Source organism: Homo sapiens, chromosome 8 (assembly GCF_000001405.40).
Source record: "Homo sapiens chromosome 8, GRCh38.p14 Primary Assembly".
NCBI classification, from domain to species: domain Eukaryota; kingdom Metazoa; phylum Chordata; class Mammalia; order Primates; family Hominidae; genus Homo; species Homo sapiens.
In genome coordinates this window covers 10,700,624-10,716,992 of record NC_000008.11, presented here as the reverse complement: position 1 = coordinate 10,716,992, position 16,369 = coordinate 10,700,624, and the positions used below count along the sequence as shown (strand labels likewise).

Here is a 16,369-nt window from a genome sequence, read left to right as displayed (position 1 = left end):
CCGGAGCCAGGGTGAGGGCACAGGGCTGCGGAGAGAAGCCCCCAAGGCCGAGCTTTTGGAAGGGCTCTGCTGCATCAGGGTCTCAGCAGGGGGCAGGGGCTGGCAGCACAGCTCCAAAGGTGTAGGGTGAAGCGGGGAAGGGGCCGGGAGTGCAGGCGGGAGGGGATATCGAGGCTTAGGGCTTCCATGTATTTAGGAGTCTTCCCAAGGCCTTTGCTCTCATGCTGCTTGTCTCTGTGGGTACTGGCCCAGGACAGCAGGGCTGAGAAGAGGCTCCGGAGGAGGGGGCGTTCCAGTGTGCACCTGCAGGCCCACCGTGGGAGGGAACAGGTGGTGGCTTCCGACAGCCCGGGCTGGCATAGATGGGTCCAAGGAGCCCACCCCGACATCCCCAGCACCCTAGGCCCTTCTGTCGGTTTTCTGCCATACTGTGACCAGGCTGCAGGGCCCTAGTAGGCGGCGGGTGTCCCAGGGCGCCTGGCAAGGCAGGCAGAGCTAGGGGCAGCAGACCCAGCACACAGCACTCCAGTCTCCAAGGAGGAGGAAGGCTCGCAGGAGGGGCCGGAGAAGGCCGAGGAGCAGTGGCTGCTGAGTGTTTTCCTGCCCATGGGAGCTGCTGTGACCAGGAGCAGGAGGATGTGGCTGGAGCCCAGTGTTTCCTGCCTGATAAGCCGGCCCCTCCCTGCAGAGCCCCGGCCGCCCTACCTTCGCGCCTGCTGAGAGCCCTGCCCAGGGAAGGGCTGGCCCAGGAGGAAAATCACTTCTCCAGATTAGCTCGCTCCGGCCAGCCTTCCTTCCCCGCCCTGTCCCAGCAGCCACAGGAAGCCGGCAGGGGCCCAGCAGCCCAGAGGTCCCTGCCTCGGAGCACTCAGCCTCTCTGAGGGCCCCACCACCCCGGTCCCCCCAAGACTTTGGTCTTCTTGCTCCAAAGTCAACGATTTTCAAGGATAGCAGTGACTGCACATCATTTGTCTTTATCAGACCCCCTGCCTGGCATTTGGGCTTAGAAAATTGGTCACTTTATTCATGAAGACTCCATGGACCAGCCTTTTTCCACCTGGTCAGTTGCTGTCTCTGTGGTCACCTTGGAAGGACATCCTCTGAGCTGAGGTTGTGGGCTTTGGATGCAGGCTGGCACAGAGAAAAGGCAGGGGCTGGCATCCCAGGACCCCAACGCCACCCTGGCTCTGCCCTGAGCTGTGTGGCCTGGATGAGTTCCCACCCCTCCCTGAGCCTCGCTGCCCGTCTGTTACTGGAAGGGCTGAGCCACATGGGAGCTCAGGGTCTCCCTCCCTCCCAGAAGCATCAGGAATGATGAGGGGTGCTGGCCACTCCCAAGGGCAGCCCAGAGTCCCGATTCCCGCTGAGGAAGAGGGCGGCGGCTGGAGGGAGAACTCCCCCTTTTCAGTGTCATCTTGGGCTGACCCTCTGGTTTTTCCACTCTCTGTCCTGCCCCTCTAGGGCCAGTCTCCTGCCCTGGGGGATTGGGATGTGTGGCTCCAGCTTGGGGATGGGAGGTGCACAAGATGGAGGGACAAGAGAGGAGGTGGTCAGGAGGCCTGTGTCCGGGAGAGATGCCTGCAGCATCTGCCAAGTGCCCTAGCTGTGAAATAAGGACCGAGGTCCTGGGAGACTAGAAGCCTGCTCAGAGGCACTGTCGCAGATGTGAGCTTCCCCAGGCCTGCGCCAGCTCTCAGACAAGCCTCCTGCCGCAGCACAGCCTCCGATGCGCCCCGGGCCCAAGGGACTCCCCTCAACCTGTAGGTGGGCCCCACCTTCCCTACAGACCTGCCTCCCAAGCCCCACTGACACAGGCACTCCCGCCTTCCTCAGGGAGCTGGCTGTTGGTAACAAAAGGTTCATGAAGGGGGTGTTTACTGGCCAGAAAAGATGAACCTATGCTTGCCTTGGTGACAACACTGGCACGTGTGTCCCCGAGAGCTGACTGCACAGGCACGTTGGAGAACAGGCGGCAGCTCTGCCGTTCGAATCTGCGAGGTGCGGCGTCACTTCAGGATTTCATGCCACCCTCCCGGCAATCCTGACGCAGACATGCTTCTGTCCTTTCACAGGTGGCAAAGCTGATGCTAAGGCCGGGTGAAGTGCCGAGGGAGGCCACACAGCTGGGTGGGCCGGGTCTCCACCGATGGAGCAGCACACACGGCTGGGGAGTGGGAGCCTGGCCCCCAGCTCCCCTAGCCTCCCCAACTCTCCTGCCCCGGTTCAGGCCCAGGAGGGGCGGCCATCACTCGGGCTGCTCCTGGACGTGAGCCTCCCCCATCAGCAGCTAAGCCTGGGGTCCTGAAACAGCTGGTGGGTGGCCCAGAGGCAGGTGGGGAGTTCTCTGTGTAGTGAGACCATCTGCACCCAGGCGTCTGGCATTGGGCTGCCCCTGCTGCCTGTGTCTCCCGAGCATGGAGGGGCGGGTGAAGGAAGGTTGGGGTCTATTTAGGCCTTTTCATCTAATGCTCTGTGGGGCTTTCCACTGTGTGACCTTGGGCAAGTTGCTTCCCCTCTCTGGGGCTCAGTAAATTAAAAGGCAGGACTCGACAGTTTCCAAGAGCTGGAATATTCCTGGTTCTCTGAGTCTGTGAAAAGGGAGAAAGGAAAAGGGGAGGGTCCCCTCCTCTCTGACCCTGGCCTTGGCATGGGGTGGTCTCTAGGGAGGTGGCAGCGGGGGAGTGACCTGGGTGGGGGTCCCACTGCACACAGCCGTCGCAGGGTGAGCCTCAGGTGCTGTGCATGGCTGGGCTGGAGCCACAGTTACTGCATCCAGGCAGGGAACACCTCCCACGACACCATCTCCATCCTGCCTCAGCTGCCCTGGGCTGCTGCCACACCTTCTGTCACCAGGCCATGGCAAGGGGCCCCCAGACACCTGGCCTGGCCTTGTTCCCATGCATAACTGGCCGTGGCCCCGCCTCCTAGGAACTCTGCCCTGCCTTGCCCACATCACCCGATCCCTCCACCCCTCCACCCTGGGTGTTGGACTGGACGGGATGGGGCAAGAGGCCGCTGTCATCTGAGCCCAACCTTGTGGATCCTCATGTAACCCTGGCACTCAGGAGCGCCCTCCCTGCCAGGCTGGGCCTGGTGTGAGGCTGCTGCTGGTCTCCTGTGGGAGGCAGGGGCTCGGTGCCCCATGGACTCCCAAATTCCATGCTTTGAATCCTAACATGACTGTCCGCCCTAGACTGTCACCCCATCACTCACTGGCTATGACCCTGAGTCTCCCCTGTCCCATCCGGCTAGAGAGATGATGCTTCCAAAAGATCTAACGACGTTTCCTTTTTACTTAAAAAGTTTTATCTGTCCAATCCTGCCAATAAGATAAAGCTTAAACTTCACAGGGGGACATTCAAGGCCTTTTATAATCCAGTCCCAACTTACCTGGCCCTCGTCACCTTATGCAGTCCCGATGACACACTGTGTGTTCCAGGCATGGCCAATTTCCAAATAGGATATGTTGCCTCATACCCCAGTGCTTTTGCATAAGCTGTTCCCTCTGGAATACCTTTCCCCACACCTTTTCTCCGTGGGTTCCTGCTCCGGTCTCAGGACCCAGCACAGTGTTCCCCCTCTCAAAGAGCCTTTGCAACAGCCCTCCACCCACTCAAGCCTACCCACGCCCGGTCCCCAGCCATGTAGTTTGCAGGCCCATTTTCTGTACCTTCTCACAAGCCTCTCACATAGCTCTCACAGTGTCATGATGCAAGCTCTGTTTTTAAGTCTGTCTCCTCCCACTAGTCTGGAAATGTATTTATCTGGGAAAGGCATTTTATATATCTTTCACGCCATGGGGCCTGCCAGGCACATAGTAGGTGTCCAATCAATGCTTGTTGGAGGGTTGAATAGCTACCCAGGGTGCAAACACTGACTGGTCCACCCTCTGCTCAGCCTGTGATCTTAGACCATTTGTTTCATTTCTCTGTGGCTCAATTTTTCTGTCTGTAAATTGGTCCTGCTTTTGGCCAAGAGGTTTCAGATTACGGTGATAGAAGCAACAGGAATGGCTTAGGAGAGGGCCGAGGGTGAGATGTTAATTCCTAATACAATTGACTCTCGATGATCCCTGGAAAAGTTTAATTCTTCACTGGATCCCTGCCACTTCCTGGGCTGTGTCCGTACCCCACCCTTTCCATCAGTCAGGAATGCTATTTGTAACACTGTCCTCACCAAAGTGTGTGATTAGGAAGAAAATATGTGACACATATGGACACACACACACTTCACAAAATCTGGCTCTCCTGTTGACCCCATTGGGACAGGTCCTGGTGGGGCTGACACTGATGATTCATGTTAGGATTTATCTCAGTAAGGAGTAGGCTGCTCACTCTATAGTAATAAGGGTGCTAAGTTCTCTCTGGAAGTAAAGTGGCCCTTCGGTCAGTTATTCTTCCAAGCCCAATTACAAACCTTTTATTTTAAACATGTCGTGTAGGTACACGTAGGAGACTTGTAAGTACAGAGACACAACGAAGAGAAAGCGTGCAGCGGGAGATTCCCCTATCGTCTCACTGTGCAAAGGCATCTTTTGTCAGTATCTTGTTGTACTGCTTCTAGATTTTTTTTTCCAGATGTGTGTGCTCATGTAAATAACTTTCTTTTAGAATGTTGGGTTTGCATTGTTTTGGAAACTTACTTGCTTTTTTTTTTTTTTTTTTTTTTTTTTGAGGTGAGAGGGTGTGATGGTTATATTGAATGTCAACTTGATGGATTGAAGGATACAAAGTATTGTTCCTGGGTGTGTCTGTGAGGGTGTTGCCAAAGGAGATGAACATTTGAGTCAGTGGGCTGGGGAAGGCAGATCCATCCTTAATCTGGTGGGCACCATCTAATCAGCTGCCAGCACATATAAAGCAGGCAGAGAAACGTGAAAAGGAGAGATGGGCCTAGCCCCCCAGCCTACATCTTTCTCCCGTGCTGGATGCTTCCTGCCCTCAAACATCGGACTCCAAGTTCTTCAGTTTTGGGACTCGGACTGCCTCTCCTTACTCCTCAGCCTGCAGACAGCCTGTTGGGGACCTTGTGATTGTGTGAGTTAATACTTAATAAACTCTTACATTTATATATAGAGAGAGAGAGATAGAGAGAGAAAGAGAGAGAGAGAGGAGAGAGAGAGAACCCTGACCAATACAGAAGGTCTCGCTCTTGTCACCCAGGCTGGAGTGCAGTGGCGCCATCTTGGCTCACTGCAGCCTCGACCTCCCAGGCTCAAGCGATCTTCCTACCTCAGCCTCTTGAGTAGGTGGGACTACAGGTGTGTGCCACCATACCTGGCTAATTTTTTAATTTTTTGTAGAGACGGAGTCTTGCTATGTTGCTCAGACCCAGGTCTTGAACTCCTGGACTCAAACAGCCTCCCAAAGTACTGGGATTACAGGCTTGAGCCACTGCTCACTTTCTAAATGTTAAGTTCTGTTATTCCATTGAATATCCGTTTCCAAAGAACATGTTTCCCATTCTGCTCACAATCATCCGATCCCCTCCCCACCCAGCCAGTCAGCCCTGGTTGGAAAGGCCTCTCTGGCAGCCTGGGACATAGGGATGCCCACTTTCAATTCCATGCTGGGTACCCAGGAGGGAAGTGACTTGTCTGAGGGTTACAGAGTGAGTCAGCAGCTTGGCCCCAGCTACCCCGAGTGCTGGGAACTGGCCCCGGGTTGGCCTCAGCCTCTGACGTGTGCCGTCTTGCTCAGGGCGGAAACCTGTCTTCCTGGGGAGGAGGGGCAAAGGCCCCGGGGTGCCCCTGGCCTGGAGATGCCTCCCTTTGCTAGAAACTGCACAGGAGGCTTGTGGTGGGCATTTTCCTAAGTGTGTCTCTCCTGTCCAGCTGGATTGTGGCCCTGCAGCATGTGGTCTTCCTGGTTCCTATGCCCCAAGGTGGAGCCCCATCCAGCTCACTGCTGAGGGGAAGGGAAGTGCGATTCAAAGGGGAGCGACCTAGGCCCAGTGCGCAGCTCCTCCACCTTGTTAGCTGAGACCCACATGAGTCACTGCATTCCCCTGAGCCCCGGCTTCCTCATTTGGAGGAATTGGGATCCTGAGACCCCCTCACCCAGTGGAGAGGTGCAATGACTTTCACACTGTGGTCAAATGACTCAAAGCAAGTGCTTGCTCCATAAATGGGCACTTTTCCTCCTGCTTTGTCCTGTCATTGCCCATCTTGGAATCTCAGAGGCTTCCTACCAACTGGACCGGAGCTCGGAGTCTCAGCCTCACATTCAGGGCCCTTGGCTGCATTCCCCCATTAATGATTGTTGGCACCAAGACAGGCTTGGTAGAGGGCATGTGACACCTTGGTAAGCACGTGGCGAAAAGACAGTAGGGCGCGCTGGGCAAAGGCAGCTTTGAGACAGGTCTCTGAGTTCCGATTTTGAACTTGGTGCACAGAAGCTCCCCAATTGCCCCCTTACACAGAAATTCTGGAACCCATGGCTTCCCCTGGCTACCCCCGGCAACGTGTCTCTGACCACTGCCTTTAACTACCTTCCAATCTCCTTCTGCAGTCAGCCTCTGCTTAATTCAGGGTTGGCCCTGCCCAGCCTCCCTCCCAGGCCCCCTGTCCCCAAGTCCTGACTCTTCTGTGATGGGGTTCTGCCTCTTTGTTGGGGGGAATGATCTCCTTATGGATTGAGTGTGGGATATTTTGGCCTCTGGACTTGATCAAACTCCTAGAAGAGTAGAACATTGATCAGTGTGCAGGGTGATTTAGGGAAAGGAGTGGATGGTTAGGTCTGCCGGGCCTGGGGTAAACTCCAACCAGTTACTTAGTATCTAGGGAACAACAGAAATTACCCAGTTCTTATCCATAAAATGAGGATAATGAAATGAAATGCCTGACCCATGGTAGATACTCAATATCAAGAGAGAGACTGCTTTCATTATATTATTTTGTATCCTCCTCTGTGCCTCACGCATTCCAGGGCTTCCACAAATGCTCATGAAATGTGGAAGCTGCCCACTATCAATGTGACAGCCAATGTGACCAACTGGGTCACTGTGAATGGCTGGACCATTGAAAATGACTGGATCAGTGTGAATGACCAGGTCAATGTGATCAACTAGATCAGTGTGATCAACCGGGTCAGTGTGATCGAATGGAACTGTGTGATTGACCAGGTCTGCATAATCGACTGGATTAGTGTGAATGACAAAGTCAGTGTGATCGACTGGGTCTGCATGATCAACTGGAAGAGCGTGATCAACTGGATCCATGTGATCAACTGGATCTGTGTGATTGACCAGGTCTGTGTGATTGACTGGATCAGTGTGAATGATGGGGCCAGTGTGATCAACTGGGCCAGTGTAATCAATTAGATCAATGTGATTGACTGGATCAGTGTGAATGACTGGATCAATGTGATTGACTGGATCAGGGTGAATGACTGGATCAGTGCAATTGACCAGATCAGTGTGATCAACTGCATCAGTAAGATCGACCGGGTCAGTGTGTTTGACTGTTAGTGTGATTCACTGGGTCAGTGTGATCGACTGGATCAGTGTGATTGGGTCAGTGTGTTTGACTGAATGAGTGTGATTGACTGGGTCAGTGTGTTTGACTCAATGAGTGTGCTTGACTGGGTCAGTGTGATCACCTGGATCAATATGATTGACCAGGTCAGTGTGATTTACTAGATCAGTGTGATCGACTGGATTAGTGTGATCGACCAGGTCAGTGTGATTGACTGGGTCAGTGTGATTGACTGGATCAGTGTGATTGGCCAGGTCAGTGTGGTCGACTGGCCCATGACTGGCACCAAAGCAGGCCAGCCTTTGGCCTGCATGAAGTGGGCAGTGCCACCCAGCGGCATTTTTGGACCCGAGTCTGAGCTCCTTTTCCACGTTGACAGCCTCACCCTGTTTATAGGGTCCCTTCTGTGCCCAGTTTCTGAAAAGTTTTCAAAAACTGCTTACAACAGTTTGGAGTGTGGCATTTTGGGGGATGAAGATTCACGAGGAACCCAGGAGGTTGAGTTTCCTATGGGAAAGGCCGCAGTCTTCACATGCCTTAAGCTTGCATTGAGGTGTGACATGGGGGACCTGGGTGGGAATCCAGACCCTGTGTTGCAACCTGCACTGCCAATAACCAAGACAGTGACTTTGGACAAATCCTCTTCTTCCCGTTTTCCTTTTCCTCAGCCAGAGGTGGCTGAGGTGGGTTACCCCTAGGATTCCAAAGCTCTAATATTTTAGGACCCCGAGGTCACAAAACCTTCTAGTCTCAAATAAGTTATCAAATTAATATTTTATTCTAAAATTTCAGGGAGAGTAGTAGTGACTATTTGGGTTGAGGGAAGGTTACCGTTGAGTAATGGCTGGTTGCATTAATTAATTGATTTCTCTACTTAGTTGTTTATTCAAGTCTTCCTTAATGTAGTGTTCTGTGCCATTGTGGCAGGTTAAGAATGGCTGAAAATGGCTTGTCACTCCCTGAGCTGAGAGGTGTGTCTTATTTTCCTACCCTCTTTCCTCTGGGCCAGGCCTTAAACTGCTTTGAAGTGATGCTCTGCCTGTTCTGACCCTTTTCAGGAAACTGTCAGCTTCCGTTTCCTCCTTCTTAGAACCCAACTGCCATGTTGTGAGGAAGCCCCAGGCAGCCACATGGAGAGGTCCATGTGGGAGGGAATCAAGGCTCCCCATCAACAGTCTCTGTCAACAACCAGCATCAACTTGCCACCACAGAGGCCAACTATCTTGGAAGTGGGTCTTTCAGCCCCCTTTGGGCTGCCCTAGCTGATGGCATGTAGAGCAGAAATGAGCTGTTCACATGAACCCTGCCCAAATTGCAAAATTGTGATTGTTGTTTTATTTATTATTATTATTTTTTGAGATGGAGTTTCACTCTTGTTGCCCAGGCTGGAGTGCAGTAGCACCATCTTGCTCACTGCAACCTCTGCCTCCTGGGTTCAAGTGATTCTCCTGCCTCAGGCTCCTGAGTAGCTGGGATTACAGGCACATACCACCACACCCAGCAAATTCTTATATTTTTAATAGAGACAGGGTTTCATCATGTTGACCAGGCTGGTCTCGAACTCCTGACCTCAGGTGGTCCACCTGCCTTGGCCTCCCAAAGTGCTGGGATTGCAGGAATGAGCCACCATGCCTGACTGTGATTGTTGTTTAAAGCCACCGAGTTCTAGGATAGTTTGGTATGCAGCAATAAGTAACTAACACAGACAGAGCTCATGCTGGCATATGGGAACACAAAGATGAAGTCCCGTGTCTTAGCCTAGGTTTCTCCTCAAAAACAGAACCCGACACAGGTTTACTTATAGTGTGGGGTTTCTTTGGGAAGTGATCCAGCAGTAGCAGGAATGAGGACCAAAGACAGAAAGAGAAGAAGGAAAAGCTGATATGAGGTGTAGTATCCCTGAGTGGTCCACCACTGTGATTGACTGGGACTTGGTCTCTCTGGGACCTTTCGAGGAACATAGAGCTATAGCTCAGAATTGTACCCCTAGTGGGGTGTGGTAGCTCATACTTGTAATCCCAGCACTCTAGAAGGCTGAGGCAGGAGGATCACTTGAGCCCAGGAACTTGAGACCAGCCTGGGCAACAAAGTGAGACCCTGTATTTACAAAAAAATGCAAAAAATTAGCTGGGAGGTGGGAACTCAGTGTCCAGAAGGAACCCCTGGCTGCAGACACAGTTCCCCTTTTCAGAGAACTGTCAGCTTTTGTTTCCTCCTTCTTAGAACCCAACTGCCATGTTTTATGGAAGCCCAAGCAGCCACATGGCTGCCAAGCAGGCACATATAGGGAAAATCAAGGCTGTAGTCCCAGCTACTTGGGAGGCTGAGCTGGGAGGATAGCTTAAGTCCTGGGAGGTCGAGGCTGCAGTGAGCTGTGATCTCGTGCCAGTGCACTCCAGCCTGGGCAATAGAGCAACACCTTGTATTAAAAAAAAAAAAAATGTCCCCCTGAGGGAGAAAGGGAGGAGCAGTTGGTCACGGGCTCCCACCTCCCATTGGCTGGGTCATTCTATGGAATGCTAAGCTCCCTGCACCCCCAGGATGTGCAGGAGAAGACGCCATGTTGGCTCCTGATGGTGCCCCATGCTATGACATCAAAGAAGTCACAGGAGAGGAAGCAGCAGACATTTGGCATAGACTTGAGATGAGTGCTGGCCATATGCAGTGGGAGGAACCTATGTGGAACAGTTTTCTCTGACCTTGGCTGGAATCAGAGGTGAGGCCAAGAAGGTAGGAGGTGACTCACAGAGGGGTTGGGGGTGACAGGGACCTTTGAAGACCTTGCAGACTCAGGTTTCTGCTCTGCACATGAAGCCACCTGGCTATAACTGGCTGAGTCTGAAGGCAGGGGTTCCTTCTGGGCAGTGAGTTCCCACCGCCACATTCAGAGTCTGAATGTGAGTATCCCCAGGACACCCATGACGCCTGGCTGGTACTGTCCTGGAGGCAGTTGCCACTCGCTGGTTAGTGCTTCCTGCAGAGTCCTGGGCAGCGCCAGCCAACTTTTACCTAGAGCTCTGTTCTTTTGCCAGAAAAGTTCCAAAGCCTTCGTCTACCTGTCTAGTCTAAACCCATTCACATCAACATCTGAGGCATTTGGAGTCCTCGGGAAAAATACACTCAGGCCGGCTGACTTGAGAAGCCCTGGGCAGTGCCACTTCCTCAACTTTGTGGGTCAAGGGAGGTGAATTTCCAGATTCTGTTGGAAACCTGAAACCCACAGCAAAGCCAGCCTCCTGAGAAACACTTCTGAAATTTTGGGGCCTGGATAACACAGCCTCATGGTATTGGAGGTTTGGATTAGGTTTAGAAACCTATGTTTCAGTTCCCAGGTGCTGGGAGCCATGTTCTTAGAATATTAAGCAGGAAGGACACAGGGTTACCTTGGTTCTCATTTCAAAAATCTGGGCCCTGGGAAAAACATGTATTCTCTCAGCCTTTTGAGTAGGTAGAAAAGCACTTAACAGGAAGCACCAGAAAGCCCTCTGAGTTCTTTGGGGGACACATCTTAAGCAACACCATGAGGCACGCTGATGATGAAATGTTCATGGGTGAGAGTCGGACTCAGTGCATTTTAGTAAGGCCAATGCCCTCCTGAGCCAAGTCAGAGGACATTGCTGTTGGGGCAGGCATTTTCTGAAGAGGGCACTATAAGGATGGTTAACTTCTGTTTTGTTTTGCTCAAATTCCTCATTTGACTTTTCGTGTGCAAGTTCTCAGAGAAGAAGTTCTGCTTCTGAGTCCGGAATAGCTTTCCATCCAAGAGTGGACACTGTGGTCTCCCTCGGAGTCCAGAACAAAAGGGTAGCTCGTACCCAGGGGCCATTACACAGGTGGGCAGGGTGACGGACTTGCCCAGGGCCTGTGTCCTTGGAGGCAGTGGATGGGGCAAGAGCCCTCATCTGGGGGTAAAAAATGTGCTTCTGTCTGGGGTTCTCCCACTGTTAGTCAAGTGACCTTGAGCAATCCTTCCATCTGTCTGAGCCTCAGTTTCCTTGTCTGTCATGGTTGAAGCATTCTCTGCCCTGCCTGTCTCACTGACCTCAGTCAAATACTGGGTATGTGCGCATCGGCTCCCACAACCAAACGCTGGAAGACGGGTGGAGCTGCCTCCAGGGTTACTGGATTAAGGAAGCAATCTCTCAATCAATCTCTCCTCTCTTTTGCTTCCCTTTGCCTGTTGGCTTCTTTCTCTCAACGCTGGTATCACAGCTACAGGCTGCTCTGGCCTCCTGCAATCCTTAGAGCTTCAAAACCAAAAGGAAGAGAACCCCAGCAGCTGTAGAAAGAAACCCCCCAGAATCACTCATCCTGGCTGGGGGTGTGGTGGGTGGGTTGAGGATGGGATACTTTGATTGGTCCAGCTTGGGCCATGTGCCCATGTCTGCTCCAATCACTGTGGCCCAGGGCAGTGGAGCACGATGATTGGTCCACTTGGGGAAAGGCTCACCCCGTGGCCAGGGGACGCACTGTGACCGGGAGCCCGCATCAGAAACACCAGGCTGCCCCCACTCCTTTAGGGCACTGATGTGTCTTTTCTGTGTCCTTACATATGTGACCCATCCCAGTATCCGACATGCAGTAGGCACTTTCTACATGTCTGTGGAATAGCGTTGACAGTGAGGTTTCTGACACTCCAGAGTTACTTGAGTTAGATACCTGCTTCTGGACTTCACAGCACCCATCCCTGTTCCCAAGTACTGCTTATGTTCAATTGCTTGTTAGTGTCCTGCATTAAAACGTGAGCTCCTCAAAAGCAAGGACCTTGTCTGGCTTGTTTACCGCCGGGTCCTCCGTGCCTGACAGCCTCTGGTACAGATAATTGGTCAATTAATGTTTGTGAAATGAACATCAACTGTGTGTGAGCCTCAGTGTCTTGACAGAAGGAGCCTGACTCTGCCCTTTCAGGTCGCCCAGCGCCTTCTCCATCCCTCTCCATCCTCACTTCCAGTTTCTGATACTCTGAGTGCAGTTATGACTTAATGTATGCCCAAGAGCCAATTCTAAATACATTTCTGGCCTTAGGTTCTGTTGTTTATAAACACTAGTGAGACCATTGCTTTGACAAAGGTGCTAAGATCTACAAACATTTATATTTGTGTAATCATCTTAAAAATGAGTACTTTTTAATGTTGAACTTCTTAAGTGAAGTTCAAATAGTATTTGCAGTAGTGAGAGGTGTTTCATCTGCACCAGAATGAATTCTCAAAAGCTTTACTTTGCCAGAATTGGATGAATAAACTGAACCATTATTGGAATTGATTGATGTTTCAATCGATGCATCTGGTGACGCTAAAACTGGCGTTGTTTCACCATATGTTATGTGAAATTCTACTGAGATGCTATCCAGTGAATGACCACTGCTTTATTTTCAGCTTGCATATAAGAAAACTTAGAATACAGAGCAAGCTCGATTTTAAACTGCCACCTGCTCAGTTGCCCCTGTGCATGTTAAATTGTGGATTCCAGATTCTGGACAGGCTTCTTCTACATTTTTTTTTTTTTTTTTTTTTTTAGGTGGTGTCTTGCTCTGTCACCCAGGCACTGGCGTGCAGTGGTGCAATCTTGGCTCACTGCAACCTCCACCTCCCGGCCTCAAGCGATTCTCCTGCCTCAGCCTCCTGAGAAGCTGGGACTACAGGCACGCTCCATCAAGCCTGGCTAATTTTTGTATTTTTAGTAGAGACAGGGTTTTGCCATGTTGGCCAGGTTGATCTCGAACTCCTGACCTCAGGTGATCCACCCGCCTCGGCCTCCCTAACTGCTAGGATTACAGGCACGAGCCACCACGCCTGGCCTGGATAGGCTTCTCAAAGTTCCTATGAACCTTTGAGGTAGCTGCTGACGCTTTTTGAGCAGATTTCTCGGTAGTCAGTGGCATTGCTGTGGTTCCTGGCAGATGGTAGATGCAGAGAACAACTTTGTGCATGTTACAGTTTCGTCATTAACTTTCTTAAAAAAGAGAAAGTCATTATATTTACATTTTCATTACTCAGGCACTTTCCTTTTTTGTTGAGTTCATTGCTACCAAAAGGGTTTATTGAAAAATGAAAATGCAGTGGCAAACAATAAGATAACTAAATCGCTGTAGCTTTGTAGCACGTGGTAAGTGGCAAAGTCAATGCAGCAAGGCCATGGGGACTCCCCTCCGTGAACTCTTCTTCCTCCCAGCTCCTGGACATACTGCCTATGTGCCTGGCTTGTCTCTCTCACTTTTCCCACTGACCCCAGAGCCTGGTGGCTTCATGCATCTTGTGGTTGTGCAAGTGGCTGAGGCACTGAGCAGTTGGTGGGAGCAGAGGTGCCGCGTCCTTCTCTCAGCACTACCACCACGGGAAGAGCTGGCTCTCCTCAGTTACTCATGTCTGCCTGCATTTCAGTGCCTCAGGAATGGCCCGGGCGCTGTTTTTGAAGGGTTCCACTGAGTCAGGAGAGTATTGGGAGGGAGAGGCAGGTCAGCGCTCTGCCTCTTCCAGTTGCAGCCTCAAGTGTAGGTGAGAACTTGCTCACCACACACCCCATGTGCCTACGCACCAGGAGAGTCCCACACCATGACATGCAGTCATGGCAGGAGCTGAAGCAAAGGTGGGGAGCTACCTACCTCCCCCAGCTTCTTTTAGAGCAAGTCTTCAGCGAACTCCACTAAACAATGCAAAGCTGGGGTGCACGCCAAAGCAGGCCCAACACTGGGATAACAGGAGTCACCCAGGACAGACCCAGAGAATGCAGAATGTATGGTCCCTTTATCCACAGGCTCTAGCAGGTATTCCGGTTTCAGATGGATTTGAGGACAGTTTCTCAGTTTGGGGTCTCCACTTCTGGGTGGTGTGAGAGTTTAGGCCTTGCATGAGTAGGGGGCATGGGTGGGAAGTCCACTGTCCCACCGTTGTCTTGGTGTCTACCCAGTGTCTGCTGTAAGACGGTGCTCCCTGCTGCTGCCTCAGGTGGGTGGGAGGGAGGAGTTTTCCCGTGGGACCACCCATTTGCTATTCTTAGCTTGAGACAGAAAGCCCAGTTTTGACTTCCACAGAGGATGAGGCCCGAGGCCCGAGACCTTTCCTCCACTCGCTGCTGTGGCTTCCCTCCACATTTCTGGCCCTGTGACTCTCCCAACTCCTCCCGACCCCTTCATAAATACAGCTCAGCTACACAGAAAATATATGTCTACCATGCACCACACCCGGGACTCCTGCAGATGCCAGTGGGGGCTGAGGGAGGAGGGCGGCTTCTCACACTGGCTCAGGACTCCATCACCTGAAATGCAATTCTTCCCAAGGCCACTTCATTCACTTGTGGGTTTGGAAGGCCTCGAGATCCAGCTGGGCCTGTCCTCTCCTCCAACCTTGCCCCTCAGATGATGCCAGGCCGCCAGGCCTCCTCTGCTTATCCTTGAACAAATGCCACCAAATAGTCATGGAAGTCATGTGGAAGTTAGCAAGGAGTGGGTCTCTGGCACGTGGCTTGGGTAGAAGCTGTACCCACTTGCCCCTCCACCAGCTCCCACACGCACATGTGAGTACACCCATCCACGCTGGCTGTGAGGGTTTCTGGGACCCTGGTGAGGCCCTAGACAGAATCCGATGGCAGCTCTCACACTTCCCTCAGGACCATAATGGTTTCATCCATACAGTAGATATAGTTGTTCACAAGTGTTTATGGAATGAAAGAGGAAGGAAGAAATAAAAAATTTAAGAAACTCCCTGAACCTCCTTCCTCTGTCCCAAGAGGTATTAGGCAGTACATCAAGTTTCTTGGGGATCAACACACCTGGCCATGGCATCAGGGTGAGATGGGAGGAGAGTCTCAGGTACAGCTCCCAGCAAGGCTGCCTCACCTGCTGGGGGGTCCTGTGTCCTGGACTTCTCTGCCAGGGCTGCAGAGGACTGCTCTGCTCCTTCTGCAGGGCACCCTCGCTAAGTCCCCCAACCCCCTAAGGCAGCTGACTCTGCCTGGAAACACAGACACCAGGCACACCTCAGGTGGCACAAACTAGAAAGTAGGTGGCAAAGGAGAGATAGGCGGGATGAGCTAATGACATGAGCCTGCCTTATTGGGCACAAGGGGTGCAGCAGGCAGATGGCAGAGCAGGGCAGGGGCAGTCTCGGGCTTGGGAAGAGGCAGTACATGGTGACCCCCTCACTGTTCTGATTTTGAGGGCCACAGTCACCTGTCAAACCAACAGCTCCAGGACGTGTGCCGCTATTTGCATGAGAGGCATGACGCCCCTGGGAAACAGCACGGAAGCAGGAGGCTTCTGCTCTCTGCTGTGTGACTTCGAGTAGGTTATTTTCCTCCTTGAACCTTGAAACCCTTGACACATGGGAATAGCAAACCTCACCTTGTCTTTCTCCTAGGACGTCTTAGTGAGAGAGGACCAGAGACACCATCCCACAGCACCTCTACTCGACAAGATAGAGAGCTGGGGCCCAGAGATGAAAGGGACACAGGCAGCATCACACAGCAGATCCACAGCAAAGCGGGCTCCAGGCCAGGTCTCCGACCTCTGGGACAGCACCTGCCCCCTGCCTGAGTCCAGACAGTGCAGATGCTCCTGGGAGGAAGAGTTTTCTAGAGGGCACATGGCTCTGGGTCCTCTTGTGGGAGACCTGCGGGCTGGACTGCATGCAATGAAGCCTGTGGTGGAAATGTCAGGAGGAAGAATCCTAGGATACATTCTCCTTACATGGCATGGGATTCCGCAGAGGGCTTTGCTGGTGTGTGGGGCACCCTCACTCTTACTGGCTTGCCCCCATGGGTGGCTCCATCTTCAGCGGAGCTCAGGCTTGTCAGCATGTGAAAAGTACCCCCAGAGCAAAGCTCTGTGCTTAGCAGAGGTCCACAGCCATCTCTTGTCACTCAGAGGAAATAATTTGGATTGGATTTTAGGTGGTAGCA

The 16,369-nt window shown here is 52.3% G+C and overlaps 6 annotated features.

Annotated features, from left to right (window-relative positions):
• Positions 212-1,417: an enhancer, noted in NCBI's record as "amplified fragment containing the chr8:10573085-10574291 (GRCh37) conserved CAGE region with expression in endothelial cells, salivary gland, pineal gland and aorta". NCBI's record gives its function as "drives transgene expression in the vasculature, dorsal vein and dorsal aorta {active_cell/tissue: dorsal aorta | dorsal vein | vasculature}" and the evidence as "EXISTENCE:transgenic organism evidence [ECO:0001131][PMID:24670763]".
• Positions 637-1,291: an enhancer, noted in NCBI's record as "H3K4me1 hESC enhancer chr8:10573212-10573866 (GRCh37/hg19 assembly coordinates)". NCBI's record gives its function as "activates a minimal SCP1, AML or CMV promoter by ChIP-STARR-seq in primed H9 embryonic stem cells {active_cell/tissue: H9 hESC(primed)}" and the evidence as "EXISTENCE:reporter gene assay evidence [ECO:0000049][PMID:30033119]".
• Positions 5,267-6,034: an enhancer, noted in NCBI's record as "H3K27ac-H3K4me1 hESC enhancer chr8:10568469-10569236 (GRCh37/hg19 assembly coordinates)". NCBI's record gives its function as "activates a minimal SCP1, AML or CMV promoter by ChIP-STARR-seq in primed H9 embryonic stem cells {active_cell/tissue: H9 hESC(primed)}" and the evidence as "EXISTENCE:reporter gene assay evidence [ECO:0000049][PMID:30033119]".
• Positions 5,692-5,791: an enhancer, noted in NCBI's record as "active region_26995". NCBI's record gives its function as "activates an Ori minimal core promoter by ATAC-STARR-seq in GM12878 lymphoblastoid cells {active_cell/tissue: GM12878}" and the evidence as "EXISTENCE:reporter gene assay evidence [ECO:0000049][PMID:35858748]".
• Positions 5,872-6,001: an enhancer, noted in NCBI's record as "active region_26994". NCBI's record gives its function as "activates an Ori minimal core promoter by ATAC-STARR-seq in GM12878 lymphoblastoid cells {active_cell/tissue: GM12878}" and the evidence as "EXISTENCE:reporter gene assay evidence [ECO:0000049][PMID:35858748]".
• Positions 6,035-6,802: an enhancer, noted in NCBI's record as "H3K27ac-H3K4me1 hESC enhancer chr8:10567701-10568468 (GRCh37/hg19 assembly coordinates)". NCBI's record gives its function as "activates a minimal SCP1, AML or CMV promoter by ChIP-STARR-seq in primed H9 embryonic stem cells {active_cell/tissue: H9 hESC(primed)}" and the evidence as "EXISTENCE:reporter gene assay evidence [ECO:0000049][PMID:30033119]".